The sequence below is a fragment of the Homo sapiens genome, chromosome X (genome assembly GCF_000001405.40).
Source record: "Homo sapiens chromosome X, GRCh38.p14 Primary Assembly".
Classification (NCBI taxonomy): domain Eukaryota; kingdom Metazoa; phylum Chordata; class Mammalia; order Primates; family Hominidae; genus Homo; species Homo sapiens.
In genome coordinates this window covers 129,542,237-129,562,878 of record NC_000023.11, presented here as the reverse complement: position 1 = coordinate 129,562,878, position 20,642 = coordinate 129,542,237, and the positions used below count along the sequence as shown (strand labels likewise).

The 20,642-nt window shown below is 38.8% G+C and overlaps 1 protein-coding gene across 3 annotated transcripts in view; it reads right to left on the bottom strand.

The window, feature by feature from the left end:
• OCRL (OCRL inositol polyphosphate-5-phosphatase) overlaps nucleotides 1-20,642 on the bottom strand; it is a 52,298-nt gene that overhangs the window by 29,678 nt on the left and 1,978 nt on the right. For all 3 annotated transcript variants that reach the window (NM_001318784.2, NM_000276.4, NM_001587.4), the window contains exons 3-12: nucleotides 17,842-17,921; nucleotides 14,278-14,316; nucleotides 5,444-5,554; nucleotides 4,929-5,018; nucleotides 4,126-4,246; nucleotides 3,878-4,039; nucleotides 2,228-2,329; nucleotides 1,586-1,700; nucleotides 379-495; nucleotides 93-280 (exon numbers count right to left, since the gene is read on the bottom strand). In NM_001318784.2, the coding sequence (NP_001305713.1) occupies nucleotides 93-280; nucleotides 379-495; nucleotides 1,586-1,700; nucleotides 2,228-2,329; nucleotides 3,878-4,039; nucleotides 4,126-4,246; nucleotides 4,929-5,018; nucleotides 5,444-5,554; nucleotides 14,278-14,316; nucleotides 17,842-17,921 (1,125 nt within the window). The remainder of the gene's footprint in view (nucleotides 1-92; nucleotides 281-378; nucleotides 496-1,585; nucleotides 1,701-2,227; nucleotides 2,330-3,877; nucleotides 4,040-4,125; nucleotides 4,247-4,928; nucleotides 5,019-5,443; nucleotides 5,555-14,277; nucleotides 14,317-17,841; nucleotides 17,922-20,642) is intronic.

Below are 20,642 nucleotides of genomic sequence, written 5' to 3'. Positions count from 1 at the left end.
TTCACAGCTCTACAGTATCTCACATTTAATCTCTACACTATCCAAACTCCTGTAGCCACTACTCAAAGGCTACAGGTGAGTTAACCACTTACTCATGTTTCATGATGTTCAACTGCGGGAGGGTCTGATTTGGGACCACAAAACTCATTCTCGCACAAATGTCCTTATAATCTTGATTCCTTCTCTCAAAGTCCTCCACGTGTGCAGCCAGATGGGAATTGACAATGCAAAAGGTGGTGTTGTGAAATACAAATCTCACAGCTACCCCACCTTTGTTTCCCTGTTAGCAAGAGTAATTATTCAATTAGTACACAGAACAAGCAACTGAACTTTACATGAACATGAATAATAATCAAGCTCATTTCCAAAGTAACTCACCATTTTCCCCATGATTCCAGTTCCAACTGTTTCTGTAGCAATATCACGAATGTATCGACACTGATCCTTTCTGGCAAATATAAGAAGCATCATCCCAACAAGGCGCACCAGTTGAACCTATGAGTTCCGGGGAGTTACAAAAGGTTAATGTTAATACCAATCTTTGCCACATTTCTAATGTCCCACGACTAATTTTCCATCAAGATGATATACTAGTGCCCAAATCTGACTTCATATCCTCTAATTTCTCAGTGGACCCCGTCAAGTGGAAACTAATATTCTCTGGGGAGGCTCTAATCTGGCACTGACCAATAAGAGTTAAAAGCTGGGAGGGACAATGAGTACTTTCAGCTCTAGATCTATTCTTTTAATCACTTCTTAGCCTACCAGGAGTAAGCAGCATTAAAAGTTCAAATAATAAAGCCACTATCCCAGCTTGTTCCTTCCACCTTTCCTTCCTAGTTTCTGATGTCTAATTTTCTAAGAAATTGAAATCAACCAAACAGCAATCTTTTTTACTTATTTTTAACTTGTGAACTACAGCTAGAAATATGTCTGAGATATACATTAGTCAGGGACCTATATGAGAGGAATAACATCCCCAGGAGTTTTATTACCTATATAAACTGTTAGAAGATGTAGAGAAAAATTACTCACATTACTTCTTTTAGAGACCTTAGTATGATAGCCCTGTAATTAACTCTTCTGGTAGCTAAATGCCTTTACCACATACCTTCTAAAGACAAACAAATTGGCCCATCTTGCTAAAGTCAACTCTCCTCTTAACTTAAAACCAAGTTTAGAACTCGTTCAAATTCCACACCACTTCTATTCTTGCTCTGATTGCAACACATGCACCATGCGCCCACGTTTCATATTGCTTTTCTGTAAAGCATTCAATTCTGACCATGTCAGTGAGTAATCTAAATCTTATATGTAATTATTTCAAACTAAGTATTGATATAAGCATAATAAAATTCTTTTTTCCCCTAAAAGCTATCTAAGCAATGAAAATATAGTATCAGAAAGCTTAGGGATTTTTTTTTCTAGGAAATAAGGATGAATGATCAATCTGCCCTATCCCAGTATTACACACAGAGAAGAATTCAATTAAACTATTCTTTTGGAACAAGTTGTAGATAATGGAATAACTCCCGGTGAGCCCTATTTAGTCATACACTTAAAAAGATAATTAAATGCGGCTTACTTTCTTATACTTGGCTTTGGAATGCAAACCTCTCTCTACAGCCATGGACCATTCTTGTTCCTTCACAGATTCAAAGTAGAAGAAGGCTTCTGTGCTCAAGTCCAGTTCTTGGAATCTGAGGAAAAAAGGGATATGAGATCTATACATATCCCATAATTATCTCTGGCTACCTCCTGTCCCATATGTTGAAACATTAGATGAAAAAAAGATGGGAGAGAGATAAATTTTATAGAACTGCTCTGTTCACCCAGGTTATCAGTAAGAACAAGTAGCTTTCTTTTCTAAAGAATTCCCACAAGTACATTCATAAGCTATGCAAAAAATAAATCAAAATACCTCCCACAGAGGATAACAGCAGAGCTTTGCTCTTATATCCTAGGAACTGTCACTGTTAGAACTGACCCCAAGTCTTAGTTTCTATGCAGAATATATAGATTCCTACGGGTTTCAAGAAAATTAGATGCTTCCTTACACCATTTTAGGTATCTGTTCATTTCTGTTCTCACAAATTTGACCCGCAAGTTAACTCTCGTGTATAGTCTACAGTAGGTTTTACCAACAGTCTTTTTTAAAAAAGGCAAAACATCATGTAAATGAACACCAAACATATAGCCAAAAGGAAATTCCAGAAGTGTTCTTTACCCAATGCAGTAGATATCAGGAGGATTGGGATCACAGTTCAGCCAAGGTTCTAACCCGCTATCTGGAGACTGGCCATTCACATTCCAAGTTCCAACAAAAAATCTAATACATAATACGAAAAGATAATTTGAAAACAAAGATCAAGTATAAACCAACAGAAGTTCTTTCTTTTCGCTTCCATACAAAGGTATGTTCACAATATGCTAACATAATTCCTCAAAATGTTTTGCCACATATGTAAGAAAGATCTTTTGCATCTAGAACACAAAGGCAGTGGGCTTATTTTCTCTAAATTTTACATTAAGTAAAACTACAGAAGGAAACCAAGTCTTTATTTTTAAAAAATGCAAAGGTAATTGCTATACCACATTTCCTTTCAATTAAGCTCCATCCAAACTCATACTTGATAGGAGAGCTTATGGATGGGAAAGAGGTATCTTCATGCTGTAAGCTAGTCAAATATGGATAAATGTTCTATAAGGGGCTATAGTTGACTCCAGGAACTCACTTCCTGAAGGATTACAAGGACATCTGTGTAGGAAATTCTGATGAGGCAGACATAGTATTAAGGGGGAAAGCAGAAGGGAAAACTCATGACTGTCTTAACTGTTTACACACAAATATAAGCATAGTGGGGGATATGAGGAACTGCAAGTTTTAGCATAGGGATATAGTTATGACTGAATTAGAATAAATGAGGTATGACAGGATAGCAGATGGGACTAGAATCTTGGACTAGAAGGGTACATTCTGCTCATGAATAACAAAGAAATGTGGTGTTGCTTCATGCATTGGCGATACATGCCACATGGTACCTCACATGCAGCATACACACACAAGTCCAGAAAAAAGATGAAATAAAAAATAATACAGATAAAAGAACCCAAGATAGACCTCCCAATCAAGAGGACTGGGTGAAACTTTCTTTATTTACCAAAGTAAGTAAGTTAAGAGCTAGTGGTAATGATGGACTTTAATTTTCTAATATTGGCTGAAAAAAAAAAACTTAACAGGCCAGATATATAAACACGCTTGCTTATGGAATGTGCTAGGGGAAAATTCTCTAGTACATGTGACCTTGATTTGGTTCTCTAGGACTCAGTAGAGACATTAGTAGACATGGCATTATTAGTAGTTAGAAAATCCAAGGGAAGGCCAAGCACGGTGGCTCAAGCCTGTAATCCTAACACTTTGTGAGGCCAAGGCGGGTGGATTGCCTGAGCTCAGGAATTTGAGACCAGCCTGGGCAACCTGGTGAAACCCAGTCTCTATAAAAAACACAAATATTAGCTGGATGTGGTGGTGTGCACCTGTAGTTCCACCTACTTGCAGGGCTGGCGTGGGAGGATTGCTTACGACTGAGAGGTTGAGGCTACAGTAAGCCATGATCTATCTGCTCTCCAGCCTGGGTGACAAAGAGAGACCCTGACCCACACACACAAAAAAAGAAAATCCAAGGGAAACTGTAGCATCTGCATTATTTCTGATATGCATGTTATTGGCCAGCATAGAGACAGGAGCTTGAAACAGGCAACCATTCCTTTTTATCATATTTTGATTCTTAATTAGGCTAATGTCTTAAATATCAACAGGCCACTGTCTGTTATATATACTAACTTTTTAGACTCAGGAAGCAAAAGAGACACTAACCTGAAAGTCTGAATGTTGACATATTCTTTCTCTCGCTTTGCCAGGATATGTTTGATGAGACCCTCCCGCTGCCCAGATTGGGTATTTGGTACAAAGAGCTTCCGCATGGTGTTGGTCACTTTGGGCTGCTCCTTGTTAGAAGCTTCTTTTTCACGTGGAAGCCTAGCAAATAAATGAGAGATTCAAAAGTAAAATTGTTTAAACTATAATTCTCCTACAAGGCAAATATGTTTTCACATGGGACTTACATTTTATTCACTGAAAAGGGTGGAGGTGGGGGTTCCCGATGAATCCCAGTAGGCTGATTTTGTGAATTTATTTTCTTGTCCAAATTCATAGAAGAAAAATTGTCTTCAAATCCAAGAAGCCCTGAAAGACACAGACCCCAAAGTCAAACGGGGAAAAAATCTAACATCCAACATATCCAGGGTAACAGGGCTTTGATTTGATCACAATTTGATCAGTGGTATTACTAAACAGAAAACTATCATAAGGGTAGAAATTACTTGGATTGGAGTTCGAAGAAGCATACCTATCCCTGAAGCACTGATATACTAACTAGAACAATAGAAGTTTATAAGAACTTGGAACAGACTAGTAATAGCTAACATTTATTGAAGACTGAGCACAATGCCTGGTTGAGAGTAAGGGACTATATCATGATCTCACTTAATCATCACAAAAACTCCAAGAAGTAAGTACTATTAAAAATCTTCCCATATTACAGAAAGGAAAAGGGAAGTTCAGAGTTGTTGAGTAACTTGATGAAGGTTGTACAACTAGTAAGTTCTTGACTTGGGATTCAAATCCAGGCTGTCTGGCTCTCGAGCTTGTACTTTCTACCACCCTGCTAAGCTGGCTCCTGAACAGCTACCATGCTACAGGAAGGATAAGGAGTGAACACTGGTCAGTGGGCCTGGACTTGATAAAACTACTCTGCAGGAGAATGTGTCTGACATCAGCTTTAATCTACATCACCATATTTGGCCTGACAAAATCTACTGACTCTGCAATGACCATAGCAACAAGGAAACCAGGAACTTTTTAGTACCTGAAAAAACAGAAGGTTTGTCCTTAGTGTCTAATTTCTGGTACCAGCTAGATGAGTCCTTTTGCTCTGGAACAAGAAGCTGTGACTGAGCTAGAGAGATAAGGTTCATGGTCAGAAACTGGGAAGTCTTTCACTGAGTAGAATTTACTATAGCCAAAAGCCATTCTTTCAACATTCCTTATATGCAGGGGCCAGCACCATTTTTGGATACAGTGGAAGAAACTAAGGAAATGAGGGCAGCTCTGGGGTCATCTAGGGGCAGAAGGAGAATTATAGTCTATGGTAAGCTGTGCTTGCCATGACACTGAATATTCTGAAAACTTGCCTAGTGTCCTTAAAGCTGGGCAGATTTTTTCCCTAACCTATCCCTGTGTTCACTCCTGAAGAAAAAAAAATCAGCTATCAGGGCTTAAAGGGTGAGGTATTTTGCCAATGGCCACTTTCCTCTGTATCAGCATGTCAGAATTCCACTCCCGTTGAAATAGAAGAAAGAAAATCGCTGAGTCTTTAGTTACCTTTCTGAGCAGCAAGGACAGCTGAGAGGAACTTCAAACAGTGTTCCTCATCAGGGATTTCAAAGCGGCGCTCTCTGATCCAGTCCCCCTGAACCCGAATTTTGCAGCCACCTAAAAAGAATTGAAATCCATACATATACTGCTATGGGATAAAATGTTTTACTGGGATCATATTCTCAACTTATCAGGTTAACAGAAGAAGGTCCAGATCACAAATATTCCAGATCTCTAATATAGGAAGCACACATACAAGATCAAGAGAGTCAGTATGACGGTGGTGGAAGGGGTGATGCAGAGAGGGAACCCTAAGGGAAGTGAGAACTCCTAAGGCTGATGAACCGTGTCCATGAGCAGCCCGATCTAAGGATATGACACATACTAAAATTATACTTTCCTGCGTTCTGATCTATCTCTCAGACATCAAAGCAGGGACCTTCAAATTCCAGCAAAAGGTAAATTCCTCAATCACCCTCCCTCCCATTCCTTAGCTGGAAATTCCTACCATTTCAAGTCCAGATCACATTGTCAGAGTATCTGAAGCATGAAGGGAATAAAATAAGTAGGATGGTTTGTCCGTAAGCACAGATTAAATTTACAAAATAACTTAAAAATAGTGATACTGGTTTGAAGTATTCTGAAAAGAAGCATCTACAACTCATTACCTCAAGTTTAAAATGTATGTCTTGAATAAACATACAAAAACAATATAATGACCTATGCTCAGAAGTGGTTTGGTTCAAGTACAGCCAATTGGAAACTAGGAGAATTAGAAGCAAAGTTAGCTAGGGCTTTAATTTATTATGTGTATAACATATTGTCTCCCCTTTTTTGATGCCCTATAGTTATCATCTATATCAACTGTTTGGATGTGGTGATCCAGGAAACCTATGTACTTGTTTCTATTCTTATTGTAACTGATTTATTACATACGTTGTTTTCTCATGCCTCTGGAAACTACAAGCTCCTTAAGGGCAAGAGGCAGGGTACGCATGCAGGGTGCACATACAGCGAACCCAGCACTTTCAGGAGTCTAGGGTGACCAACTGTCCCAGCACTGTATGGTACTCAGAGGCTTCCTAGGACTCAGGACTTCCAATGCTAAGACTGGGAAAGTCCCAGGCAAATAAGGCTTGCTGGTCACTCTACTGGTGACAGTAACATCAGACTTCACAGACAGAAGGTATTTAATGACTGATGAACTGGACTCTTTACCACGTGTAAATAACAAATACATGAGAAAATGAAATGAAAATCCTAGTTTTTATGGTGGAAATCCACTTCTGAACCTTTAGCTTTTTGTCCTCTGCATTTCTTCTTCTTTCTGTCTTTGTAAAATGAGTTACAAAAAGGAAAATAAAATAATTAATTAGAAGAAAATAGATAAAAATGGAGAAAAATGTGAAAGAAGGCACCCAAATAGACTACGGATAAGAAAATTAATGAGGGTGCCACTGTAGAGGGGAAAAAAGAGAGGGAAGGAAAAAAGTGTCAATTATAGCAGCCATGAAGATATAGGGAAAACTCCTTCAGGGCCTAACAAGTCCTTTCTTTCTCAGATTATTTATACTAAATGTGGTTTTAAAAGAGTAGTTTCTATCTGACATAAATTTAGAACAAAAACCCTTATTATCTCTCACACACACACAAACACACAATTCTTGAAAGACATATTTTAGCAAATATATAACTGACCTATTTAATGGGCCAGAAGATTCCAGAAATTGCTCACAAAATAACACTGGATGCTCCCTCACCATGTTGCTTGAGAAAGAAAACAAATTACCTCAAGACTCAACCTTCTACTCTTCTTGTCCATCCTAAAACCTTCTGGACCTCTGTGATCTGCAAACACTCCTACATCCTCAACTTCATCTGAATATTCTCTGCATCTCTCAGTAGTTCTCAACTATGCATGCATTAAAATTACCAGAGGCACTTTATTTTTGTTTTTATTTATTTTTTGAGACGGAGTCTTGCTCTGTTGCCCAGGCTGGAACACAGTGGCGTGATCTCGGCTCACTGCAACCTCGTCCCCTGGGTTCAAGCAATTCTCCTGCATCAACCTCCTGAGTAGCTGGGATTACAGGTGCCCGCCACCATGTCCGGCTACTTTTTGTATATTTAGTAGAGATCGGGTTTCACCATGTTGGTCAGGCTGGTCTCGAACTCCTGACCTCGTGATCTGCCCACCTTGGCCTCCCAAAGTGCTGGGATTACAGGCATGAGCCACTGTGCTTGGCCACCAGAGGCACTTTAAAAACAATATTGAACCCAGGCCCCACTCCAGGACAATTAAAACAGAACCTCTGGAGGTGAAGCCCAGGCACTCGTAGTTTCCGAGTGATCTGACCATATGTGCACATTAAAATTCAGAGTCAACTGCAAAACTGGCTGGTCCCTAGGAGGAGCACTTCTCCTACAACCCTCTTATTTTTATTTATTTATTTATTTATTTATTTATTTATTTATTTATTTATTTATTTATTTTGAGAAGGAGTCTCTACTGCCCAGGCTGGAATGCAATGCCGCGATCTCGGCTCACTGCAACCTCCACCTCCCGGGTTCAAGTGATTCTCCTGCCTCAGCTTCCTGAGTAGCTGGGATTACAGGCACGCACGACCACACCCAGCTAATTTTTGTATTTTTAGTAGAGACGCGGTTTCACCATGTTGGCCAGGCTAGTCTCAAACTACTGGCCTCGTGATCCGCCCGCCTCGGCCTCCCAAAGTGCTGGGATTACAGGCGTAAGCCACCGGGCCTGGCCTAACCCTCTTAATGGAGTCTGTTTATATTCTCTCACACCTGAAGTAATTTTGAGTTGGTGTCTGTATTTGTCCTAATAACACCACCAGACTACTCTTTCTCCTTCTCCCTCAGGCAAAATCCTTTCTCCTTTGAGGCTCATCCATTGGGATCTACCGTTTCCTCCCTTTCCTCTACAAGATCATGCACCATCCTCCCAGAAACTTCAGAATCCAAGATACAATACCTGGCTCATAAGACTTTCTCTCCACTCGATCTCCTGCCATTAATTTTGGGTCCCTTTAAAATTAGCACAGAAAACCCAGTCAACACCTTCAGCTTCCTCATCCAATGACATTCCCCCTCCACCTCAGCCACCACTTCCTCAGTTGCTACTGGGACCCTCTCAGTTATACCCTGGATTTTGTCATCATAGAAACACCACCACTTCATAAACCTCTAATTCAAATATCCCACCCTGACATGTTATTCCTTCCAACTTACTTGCTCATTATCCCCATTGTAACTGTTTTTTTTTTTTAATCTGATGGGAACCTCCAGCCCATTGATTTCTCTGTTTTCTTACTATCCGTCAGCCCCTTCCTGCTCTCACTTCCCCTTTTATCAAACAGATGCCATCATTACACTCTTGCAAAAACCCAGAACTGCCTTGCCTCTCTGTTCTTCCGTGGCACCTACCTGGCTAAATACCAACCCTCAGAAATCCAACTAATTGCCTTTCTGTACTTATACCTGAACAAGCAGAGGGGGTAAATATGCACACCCACAACCAGATGGCTATCATTATACATTCCTGATTGCCAATCTCAACCGGGTCCTCTATCATAGGAAGCAACCTAAGGTCCTACAGTCAATCAGTCTCCTACTACTATCTGAAACAACTGTTTCACACCTACTCATTTATCCTCAAAATTTGGATCCCCCATCTTCTTGAGCCCTCTTATTCTAAGCAGAATGCTTCAGCTCATACTTCAGAGAAAAAATAAAGCTATCACATGGAAACTTATCTGTATTTGTACTCATCTCATCCTTTCCCTACTGATACAAGGAAGAAGATCACTCCTATCAAACCTCCTTCACTTTGAATTACAACCCCTCTGATTCTCTCAGTAATCTTACAACTAATCCCTAGACACACCCCCATATCCTTAACGCTTTCCCTTTCACTAGCTCCTCCACATTAGCATATAATCGTGTTCTAAGTCCTTCTCATCTGAAAAACAAAAATCTTCCTGGATCTCAGATTTCCCTCCAATTCCAGTCCATCTCTATATTCCCCTCCAGTCACGTTTCTTTAAAAGACACACAGTCACAGACTTCCCATTTCTCACTTGAATCCATTCCAATATGACTTCCACACCCACTACTTATCTGAAATTGCTTTAAGTTCACCAATAACCTCCATCCCATGGATATTCTTCAGTCATCTTATTAGACCTATTAGCAGAAATCAACAGTTAATCAGGGCTTGATATAATCCCTTCCAAAAGCTTCTATGATACCATACTCATCTAGTTTCTCTCTCATCACTAATTTTGAGTGCCCTTTGAAGTATCTCTTCCTCTATCTAACATTTAAAAAATGGAGTTCCTCAAGTTCAAACATAAATCTTTTTTCTCATTCTATACCAGTATTGTCCAATGGGACTTTCTGTGACTATGGGCATGCTCTAAACCGTGCTGTCCAATATGGTAGCTAACAATTTGATATGTGACTACTGCAACTGAGGGACTGAATTTCTCATTTTATTTCTAATTATTTTAAATAGGCACATGTAGCCAGTGGCTACTGTATTGGATAGCACAGTCCACACACAATCACATCATCTCTTATGATTTTGAATATCATCTACGTGCTAGTGACCCAGATGACTTTCTTCTGAGATTCAGATGCATACATTCACTTGCCAATTTATCATCTACACTCAGGTGTCTCAAAAAAAATCTCAGCCGGGTGAGGTGGCTCATGCCTGTTAATCCCAGCACTTTGGAAGGCCGAGGTGGGCAGATCACCTGAGGTCAGGAGTTCCAGACCAGCCTGGCCAATAAGGCAAAACCCCATCTCTACTGAAAGTACAAAAATCAGCTGGGCGTGGTGGCGGGTGCCTGTAATCCCAGCTACTCAGGAGGCTGAGGCAGGGGAATAGCTTCAACCCGGGAGGCAGAGGTTGCAGTGAGCTGAGATCGCGCCACTGCCCTCCAGCCTGGGCGATAAGACCGAGGCTCCATCTCAAAAAACAAAAAAAAAATCTCAAACTAAACATGACTAAAACTAAATTAATGACCCTTCCCCCTTGAGGAAAACTCATTCTTTGTGCAGTGTTCTTATTTCTGCAAATGGTACCATCATCCACAGTCATGTCAGAAACCCGAGATTCATCCTTGACACTTCCTCTCACCCCTTACACCCAAAACAATTCCTATGGATTTTACCTCCAAAAACATCTATCAAGTCTGACTGCTTCTCTTCATTACTAATGCCACCACACTCTCTAGCTTACACTATGGAAACAGCCTCCTAACTGGTCTCTCTGCTTCCATGCAAATGATGACACCCCAGCATAAAATCCTTCATACGATTCTCATTTTTGAAATCTCAAAATTCAGATTTAAGACAAGGCTTACAAGATCCTGCCAGATCTGCCCCCTAGCCTGTTTTTCTTACCTTGGTGCCCAAGACCTGTTTTAGGCACCCTGGTCTTCTATCACTTCAAAGAAAAGTGTCAAGCTACTTCCCAGCCTGGAGCCTTGTGATTCCCTTTACCTGGTAAATTCTTCTCTCTCCCATCTTAACCTGCCTCTTACTTAGCCCCTCTGGTCTCAATTTAAATGTCAATTCTTCAAAGAGGTCTTCCCTGACCACCCTCCTAATATACTTACTCTTCTCATAAACTCTTAGTACTTTTCCTCAAGAGCATTTATTAAAACTACAATTATCTGGGCCAGGCACGGTGGCTCACGCCTGTAATCCCAGCACTTTGGGAGGCCAAGGCGGGCAGATCACGAGGTCAAGAGATTGAGACCATCCTGGCTAACATGGTGAAATCCTGTCTTCACTAAAAACACAAAAAATTAGCCAGGCATGGTGGCAGGTGCCTGTAGTCCCAGCTACTCGGGAGGCTGAGACAGGAGAATGGTGTGAACCTGGAAGGCGGAGCTTGCAGTGAGCCAAGATGGCACCGCTGCACTCCAGCCTGGATGACAGAGCAAGACTCCATCTCAAAAAAACAAACAAAAAAAACTACAATTATCTATATCTTATCAGTTTAAAGTCTGTTTCCTATATTAAAATCCTTAAAGTATCATGACTGTACTGCTTTCTGCTATATCCCTAGAGCCTAGTGTAGTTCCTGGCACATAAAAAATAGTCATATTTTTATAGAATGAATGATTGAATTATAGGTATCTGTGTGACACTAGTACTGAATTGCACAGAAGCAAGAACCAAAGTAGGAGCAGCAACTTTATCTTTGTCGTTCTGTACTGATTCTGCACTTACAAAAGTGCCTGAGAAATAGAAGGCACTCAACAAATATTTGTTGAATAATGGATAAACAAGGGACAGTTTAATTTTAGGAAATTAGTACAATACAGTGTACCAATTGGTCAAATAAGGAAGAATAAAATCATCTCCATAAATACCAAAAAGACATTTGCTAAAATTCAGTATACATTCATAATTTTAAAAAACACAAACTTGAAATAAATGCAGTTTCTTAATTAAAAAAAAAAAAAACCCTGTCAAATCAACAAGCAATAATGTCATTAACAGTGAAATACCACTTGAGGCATTCTCACTGAAATCAGGAGCCAAACAAGAAACATCATCATTTACCACTGGTCCCAAAATTCTCACTGGTATAGTGTACAACGATAGTAGCTACTAGAAAAGAGACAAAATTATTATTTATAGATATTAAGGTTAGCTACCAAAATGAAAAAACAAAATGAAAAGCAAAAAAGATTAAAAATAAATTTCAATGAAGCAACTGGATAAAAGATAAATATCCACAACTCAACAGCTATTCTGTATACTAGTAATAAACAATTAGAAGGACATAGAAAAAACCTCCACTCGCAATAGCAGCAAATAAAATCCACCACGAAATACTTAACCTAAAAACTATATATATTAAGAAACTATAAAATTTTATTGAAAGATATAAAAGAGGACCTGAAAAAAACAGATATATCATGTTCCTTGACAATGACTTAATTTTATAAAGAAGTTAATTTAATAAAATTTGGCACAGACCTATGGTGAAATATTTGGTTTTTAAAAAGCATATTATAAAGTAATTGTAAATGACATAAGAAAATGGGACAATATAATGTTAAATGAAGACGCAGGATAAAAACTGCATATGAGGATTCCAATTATGTAAAAATATAAAGACTGGAAGGAAATACATAAAAATGTTAACCACAGTGGTGATCTCTAGATTGCAGGAAAATAATCTTAATTTGATACTTTAAGCTTTTCTGAATTAGTAAATTGTATATAATGAAGATGTATTACTTCTGTGAGAAAAAATTATTTACAAAGCATTTAACACCAATATCCAGACAATGGGAAAATGCATATTTACATTAAAATCAGGCCTGCCTAACAAACCCAAGATCTCCTTCCTGCAACACACCGTGTACCATAAAGGTTTATGTATGAAGCCCAAGGATCAAGATAAAATATGGTTTCAGTGCAAATACTACTAAATGGGTAGAAATAACAAAGGATTTTATTCAAGTGGTCACTTACCTATTTTCCCCCTATGAGCCAGTAACTAGAACTCTGGACATAGCAACACATGGCTAATGTAGAAGCGGCCACAACAAAACTAATGCCGAAAATTAGGTGCTTATAAGAGAAAAGGCACAGCTCAGTTTAACTTTTCAGCTTTGAATCAAATACTTCTCCACATCAAATACAGGACATTTCCATCTCTTATTTCAGCAGCAGTGTCAGTTGTTATGGAATTGCTTTTGTTCTAGTTTTGCTTTTTTAAGTGTTGTTTTTGCCTTCTCCTTTCTAAGCACAATAAGAAATAGACATTAAGTTATTTTCTCTCTTGGATACTTGCAGCTGGGGTTTACCTGGCCTTTCAGGCACAGCCTTTAAGACTTCTAAAATTCACGACCAAAGGGAAAAAAAAAAAAACTCAAGCCAGAAAAAAAGCCTACTTAAAGTGTTCAATACAAATTAATAGTGCCAAGGGCAGGGACTGTCTAAACAAAGTTATGTAAACCCCTAGTCCCAAGCTCAGTGCCAGTTCCCACTCATCCAAGGACTCAACCAAGAGATAAGGCAACCCATTTGATTTAGATTCATGTGGTCAGATACTCTTTTCCATAGCAACCTCACAGTAGCATCGAGTGCCCATTTTCTCCACTCCATAAAATAGTACAATTAGATGATAAACAAAGAACAGTTTGCACAGAAAGTCAAAGATGATTTGCTTCAAACAGATAAAAATGAGAGAATGGAAACATTGAAAAGAAGATCATGTTCCCTCTAATAAAGAGATGCCTTGAGGGGATGGGGCTTAAATAAAAGACTAAACTTTTTTTTTTAAAGGAATGCCTGGACAAGCAATTTAAGGGACTCTTCAGCCTTCCAAAAAAATACAACAAATAAAGGAAAATATTATGACTTAACACACAAAATTTAAAAAGAGGGTAGGGAAAAAACTTAAAATGTAATAGCAGTTAAAAAATGACCAAAAAAACTCCACCAATAAACCTTATGTGCTTTAAACATCAGCCCTTCCTACAATTATCAATTCTACAGCAATGATTCAACTGACAGCAACAATACTGGTAGCTCACGGAAGTTCAGCATTAGAAAGGTAGATCATTATTTTTTATTTTTATAAAGATTCTTACCAGCCACCTGCTTTTTCTTAGGCTTAGCCTACATGTTTTTGGGAAACAGTGCTAATTTGTATGGCTGCTACAGGAGACTACAGGAAAAGATGGTAAAATAAAAAATGTGCCCCAAAAGGTGTCTTAAATGTAGTGAGTGTTCAAGTAAATATTTGTTGAGTAAAAATCAAGCACATTCAGAAAGATACTCACTGTTAGAAGCTATGTCAATCAAAAGAGTTTCTTCTGCTTCTGAGAGGGGAAAAAAAAGAGAGTAGGATTAGGGAAGAGAAAACCACTCACTACAACCAAAAGAATACATGCCTAACTAAATAACTGCTTCTCTCAGTCACTACTCCTAGGTCTTAGAACATATTTTTTTAAATCCCTTTTCGTTTAATATTTTTTAAAGGGATTTTTTATAGCACTGGGTTCTAAAGACTATGAGCAAATCAACTAAAATAAAAATGAACTGAAGAAGTAACCAAATGGAACTCCTCAAAGCAAATCAACGAATGAGAAATTAATAGTACAGAACATAACAACATGTTAATTCAGCGAAAGCAAGTTTAATTCCCCTTAACTGTAACATAATGATTTAACTCTGGGTCCTTTAGATACTTCTTTAGATAACAGAAGGCAAAGGAAGTGACCCTGAAAGCCCAGAGGTGAATTACTTTCTTAACTCAGATCTATTCTCTGAAAATTTCCCAGTGATCTCATCACCTCTGCCCCTGCCCCACACATGGGGGCAGAGTATACCTTCAGGTTACAACTACTACCTGTGGGCCCAAGGCCCTCCGTACCAAACAGGGTGCAAAGCAGTCTGCAAGTTTGGATTTCTCTTATCTCTCAATGGTTCTCCTGGACTTCTTCCTTTACAACAAGTGTCTAGACCCAACCTATCTCTTCCCCTCTGATTTCTCTGGATTTGACCAAGTGCACCTGCCAGACCCTCCTGGCTAATTGAACTCTGGGTACTGACTCCTTGGGATTAGCCTGGATCTACCTTGGTCAAATGGAGTAGTCTCACCTTTTTCACCTCCCTCCCAAGACTGAATTGTTTATTTGGCTCCATTACTCAGGTACAACAGAAGCAACTGGCAAGGAACTAACTCCTTTAACACTAAAAAGTAGTCTCGATATTATTATTAGGATGATTAAACAAGGGGAATTAGGGCATCAAGACATAGATATTGTATGCTTACTACTGTTCTTCATTAACTTTTAGTTCTGTAAAACCTGAGTGTTTACAGATGGTTTTCTTTTTCTTTTTTTTTTTTTTTTTTTGAGACGGAGTCTTGCTCTGTCACCCAGGCTGGAGTGCAGTGGCACGATCTCGGCTCACTGCAAGCTCCGCCTCCCAGGTTCACACCATTCTCCTGCCTCAGCCTCCCGAGTAGTTGGGACTACAGGCACCCGCCACCATGCCCGGCTAATTTTTTGTATTTTTAGTAGAGACGGGGTTTCATCGTGTTAGCCAGGATGGTCTCAATCTCCTGACCTTGTGATCTGCCCACCTTGGCCTCCCAAAGTGCTGGGATTACAGGCCTGAGCCACCGCGCCCAGCCGGTTTTCTTTTTCTTTAGAGATGGCCTCACTCTCTCACCCAGGTTAGCATGCAGTGGCACAATCACAGCTCACTGCAGCCTCGAACTGCTGGGCTCAAGCAACCCTCCTGCTTCAGCCTCCCAAGTAGCTGGGACTACATGTATCTGCCACCACGTCTGGCAAATGTTGTTTTTTTAATTTTATTTTTGTACAGATGGGGTCTCGCAATGTTGCCCAGGCTGGTCTTGAACCCCTGGGCTCAAGCAATCCTCCTGCCTCAGCTTCCCAAAATGTTGGGATTACAGGTGCAAGCCATCGCGCCTGGCCACAGTTTACAAAATAGATGCAGGGGTCAGGAAATAGAAAGGAGATGAAAATCAAAAGTAAGTCTTCCTTTAGTCATGGGGAACTACGTTACATGTGTGCACATATTTTCCCAGGTTCTAAGAAGCAGCACTACGATCTAACAATCAGCAATTGATTTCTTATTAAAAATACTAAGAGAAACAGGGTAAAAGAGATCCTAGAGGTAGAGTAAAAAGGTACAAAGCTAATAGGATATTAATTTAAAGTCATGTTCTTTGGCTCTTCCCCTCTGTGAAGGCCTACACCTTGAAAAGTGAGGTGGCCACAGCAACTTACTATGGAACGTGGCTACCTTGTTTAGTATGTCTCTCTCACATAGGGCAGGCTAAATAGCTATCACTTCATTCTTCCATACAAATATGGACACTATTCATTGAAGTTATTTTTAATTCTTAACACATGCATTCTTAAAAAGTCATATCCACTAGCTTAGTATTTTCACTTATAGGAATACATCCTGAGGAAATAAGAGATGTGCAGGTATATTTAGGTGCAGAGATGTTCATCATATTACTATTGATACTAGTGAAAAATAACCCAAATGTCAACATAGGGGAATAATTACATTATGGACCATTCATAAACTGGTATGGTATATAGCCATTAATGGCATGGAAAAGTGCTCATAATACAATAGCATGTAGAAGAGACAAAAAATTGTATAAGATGAGTATCACTCACCCTGCAATGTATGTGTAGAAAAAAGGAAAATGCTAGGTGTTTATCTCTGAAAGGATGGGAATTTAAGTGACCTATTTTCTTTACACTTTTCTGTTCTTTCCAAATGTATTACATTATGTACATGTCACTTAGTGATTAAAAAAAAAGTTCAATGTAGTTTAAGAAATAATCCATGCAAGGTAAGATTTAAGTTTTCCAAGAAAGGCCAGGCATGCTGGCTCACACCTGTAATCCCAGCACTTTTGGAGGCCGAGACAGGCAGATTGCTTGAACTCAGGAGTTTGAGACCAGCCTGGGCAACATGGCGAAACCCCGTCACTACAAAAATTACAAAAAAAATTAGCTGGGGGGTGGTGCACCTGCAGTCCCAGCTACTTGGGAGGCTGAAGTGGGAGGATCACTTGAGCCTGGGAAATGACCTTGTCTTGAAAAAACAAGTTTTCCAAGAAGCTACAATTGATACAGAATGCTTCTGCTAGATAAAGCCACTGGTCCTAGTGAAAACAGAATGCATTTGTTCTCTAGTATCAATTTCCTTTCTAGAGCAATGTGAGATGACAGAAGCAACACCTCCTACACAAACCTCCCAATTTTTAAGTTTCATTGTAGCAGATGAAACAACAGATTTTCTATGCTCCGTCCCCAAATTTGAGGGCAGGAGGCCAAATATTTCCTCCCCAGAGTCAATTTTCTTATGATTCACCAATGTCAAGGTTTGAGAATCAGCACAATTGAGTGTAAGATATTACAGTCTGGCAAGGCATGTTGCCAAATGTCTTAATTTCAAATAGCATGTGGAGAAAGTGCTGAATGTGTGTGAATCCAAGTGACCTTGGTACCTTATGAGCACTGTGTCCGTTAAGCCCAAGAATGTTATTTAAATCCACATATAGGTCAGTCAGCATAAAAAACTACCTACACAGGTAACAATCTACATACATCTCTAACCCAAGCCAAGGAAACAGGTGAGACTATAGACACACATATACAAATATATTTCGATATAACCCTTCAGCATTCTTAGAGAAAGTATCATCTCCTCAATGTTATCTTTTTATGCAAAGAGTAATACATTTCATTTTACATGCACTGACAAATTTAAATATGTATGGTATTACATAATGCAGTAATGACCGAGAAAAAACATTATAAAACTAGCTAAGGAATTAAAGCTAGTACCTTGAACACATCTGAAGTGGCTATTTATAGGAATGATATCTTGAACATGCTGTTCCTTCTCATGCAACTGGATTATTAACCTAGGAAACAGAAGAACGCATCAAAGAACAGCCACTGAAAAACTCATTTAGCAAAAAAATACTTCACTGTCCTGTTATACAAATCTAGTCTGTATTTACTAGACTTGCTGCATCTAGTTCCCTGGATCTGAGCATCATGACAGCTAGATATTGCTCTAGGCCTAAAAGGATGCTAGTGGTGATGAACATCTGATTACCCACACTGTTCTCTAGGCCATATATCCTAAAAACAGTGTACAAGCTTAAGAGCATGAATTACAGAGTATATAGCTTCAGAGTATGCATACCAGAGTGAAGAACTGACAGCTAGATGTGAAGTCCATGAGTGCAGGGACCACAGCTATCTTTACACCACGGAATTTCTAGTACCTAGCACAAAGCCTGGCACACAGGAGTTGCTCGTGTGTGTGGAATCAATGAATTAGAAAATTCATAAATTAACCTTCCAATTATATTCCCATGGCTTTTTACCAAAGAATGGATCTGTCTCTTCAAACAAGCATTCAGGTTCATGGAGGAGTAAGAGGGGGTGCTCAGCCAGCTGGATTGGTCAAAATATCAGTGACCAACAAGGTGGCAGATATCACAACTGGATTGCCTTCAAATCCCTTGTTTCTTCTCTGGTTTCCAAGTTTACGCTGGTATTTCTACATAAACATGAGTAAACCTGACTCCCCAGATGAAATCCATACTTCTAAATCCATACGTACTCCTGAAATATTAATTTTTCATTTATTATTTATCCTTAGTGGTCCAGAATCAAGGTACGACCTACTGGTAAACAGCCATTCTGAACGTCAACTAGCATTCTCAAAGTCAAGCACTCTTCAAGTATTGTTTTTAGTTTTTTGTCAGGAACACTCTGTTTCTTTCCGAGTTTCATCTCAAATATCACCTCCTCCATGAAACTGTCCTCAGTACCCCCAAGCAGAACCAGCAGCCTTATCGCCTTTGTTTGCCCCTCTAATAGAACACTTACACACTCCATTATGGTTATATTTATTTCCCCTCACTGATTTCAGCTCCTTGAAAGCAAAGACCAGATCATATTCAGTTTTGTCTGCAGCCTAATAGATGCTCAACAAATACTGGCTGAATAAATTAACTAGCTTAATTAAGCTATAAGCAGCGGTGAATTTTTCAATGAAACTGTCCAACTTCTGACATTAAAATGTCATTGTTTTGAAGGGTTTGATTTCTATTTTGTTGTCTTTTGGGGGTGCTTGTTGCTTTTGCTTTTTGCATTTTCAAATGTGTTAACTTTGAAGAGGATAACCTGGGATAGGATAAGTAATTACTTAGATAGAACTAAGGGAAATAAAAGTATTAATGCTGTTTTTCTGCTGTGATCCTTCTTGCCTAATTTGCAGGGGTTTGTACTCTAAGGTGATTACAGGAATATGGGGCAGGCCCCTTTCCATCTGGAAAGTTCATGAGTTGAGTGGAGAGTCCTATAAACCCAGATGGAAACCAGAAACCAGATAAAAGGCTGAGAAATCAAGGGTTAAGGAGGAAGAGCTTACTTTGAGGAAGATAAACACAAACCACTAAAATCTCAAAATACATAAACAAGAAATGGTGTTGAACATTAGCATTAAAGCTTCATCTGGACAGTACTGTTAAAAACTATTACAAAACAAATAAACTGAGAATTTAAGTGAATTTCACCAACATTTATTGAGTATTTACTACGTGTTACCCACTAAATTACAATAAAAGAGTAGGGCTAAGAATAAGCATAAAAATTCTGAGTGTAATTATTCATTTCAGAATATAAAGATTAGAAATAATTGGTATACAGCAAAACAATGGAATTCAGAATTTGGTAGTTGTCAAACAGAAAAGAGTGACAAATCCTGAATGCCAACTCTGCCTTATCCCTAGGAAACACTTTGATTTGTTCAAGGAAGGTTAAAGGTCAAACAGGTTTTGTCATAATCTATTATCCTTGAAAAATATGAATCTTAAGTGTTTGATTCCCTGTTTCCAAAAAAACCCTGATTTTTAATTGTAATTTTGGTCAAGCAAATTTCCTATGGTTGACAGTAGGAACCACAGACCTAAAGATTTAAGTCAGGCTTCAAGTTCTAGGATAAAAAAGCCAAAAGTAAAAAGTTCTGGACACTCGAGTCAGAAAAGACACCAGAGAGACAAGAATATGAGGATTACAGATGGTATTATGGTATTAGGTGTCTCCAGCAAATGCTTTCAAGAGAAACTTCTCAGTGTAATTCTGAGACATGTTACATAGGATCAGATCTCAGGTATTCTACTCCCTAATTGCAAACAAGTGACTTAACCTGTCTGTGCTTCAATTTCTGTATCTATAAAAGGGGGATGATGATATTACTATCTTATAGTAACCCTCACATGTGGATTAAATGAACTAACTAATGAAAAGGGCTTAGAACAGTACCTGGCACATAAGCAGCCATTGAATGTTAGTTATATAGCAACAACTATATTAGTTGTTAGTTATATGTTAGTTTATATATAAACTATAGTTTATATGTATTTAAAACTATAGTTTATATATATTTAAAACTATTTACATAGTTTATATATAAACTGCTAATATAGCAACAACTATATTAGTTGTTAGTTATATAGTTGTTATATAGTGTTACCTATATATTAATGTTAGTTATATAGCAGCCCCATACCCCCACATATACCCCCAACTATACCCCCATAACTTACACAGAATTGGAACACACGACT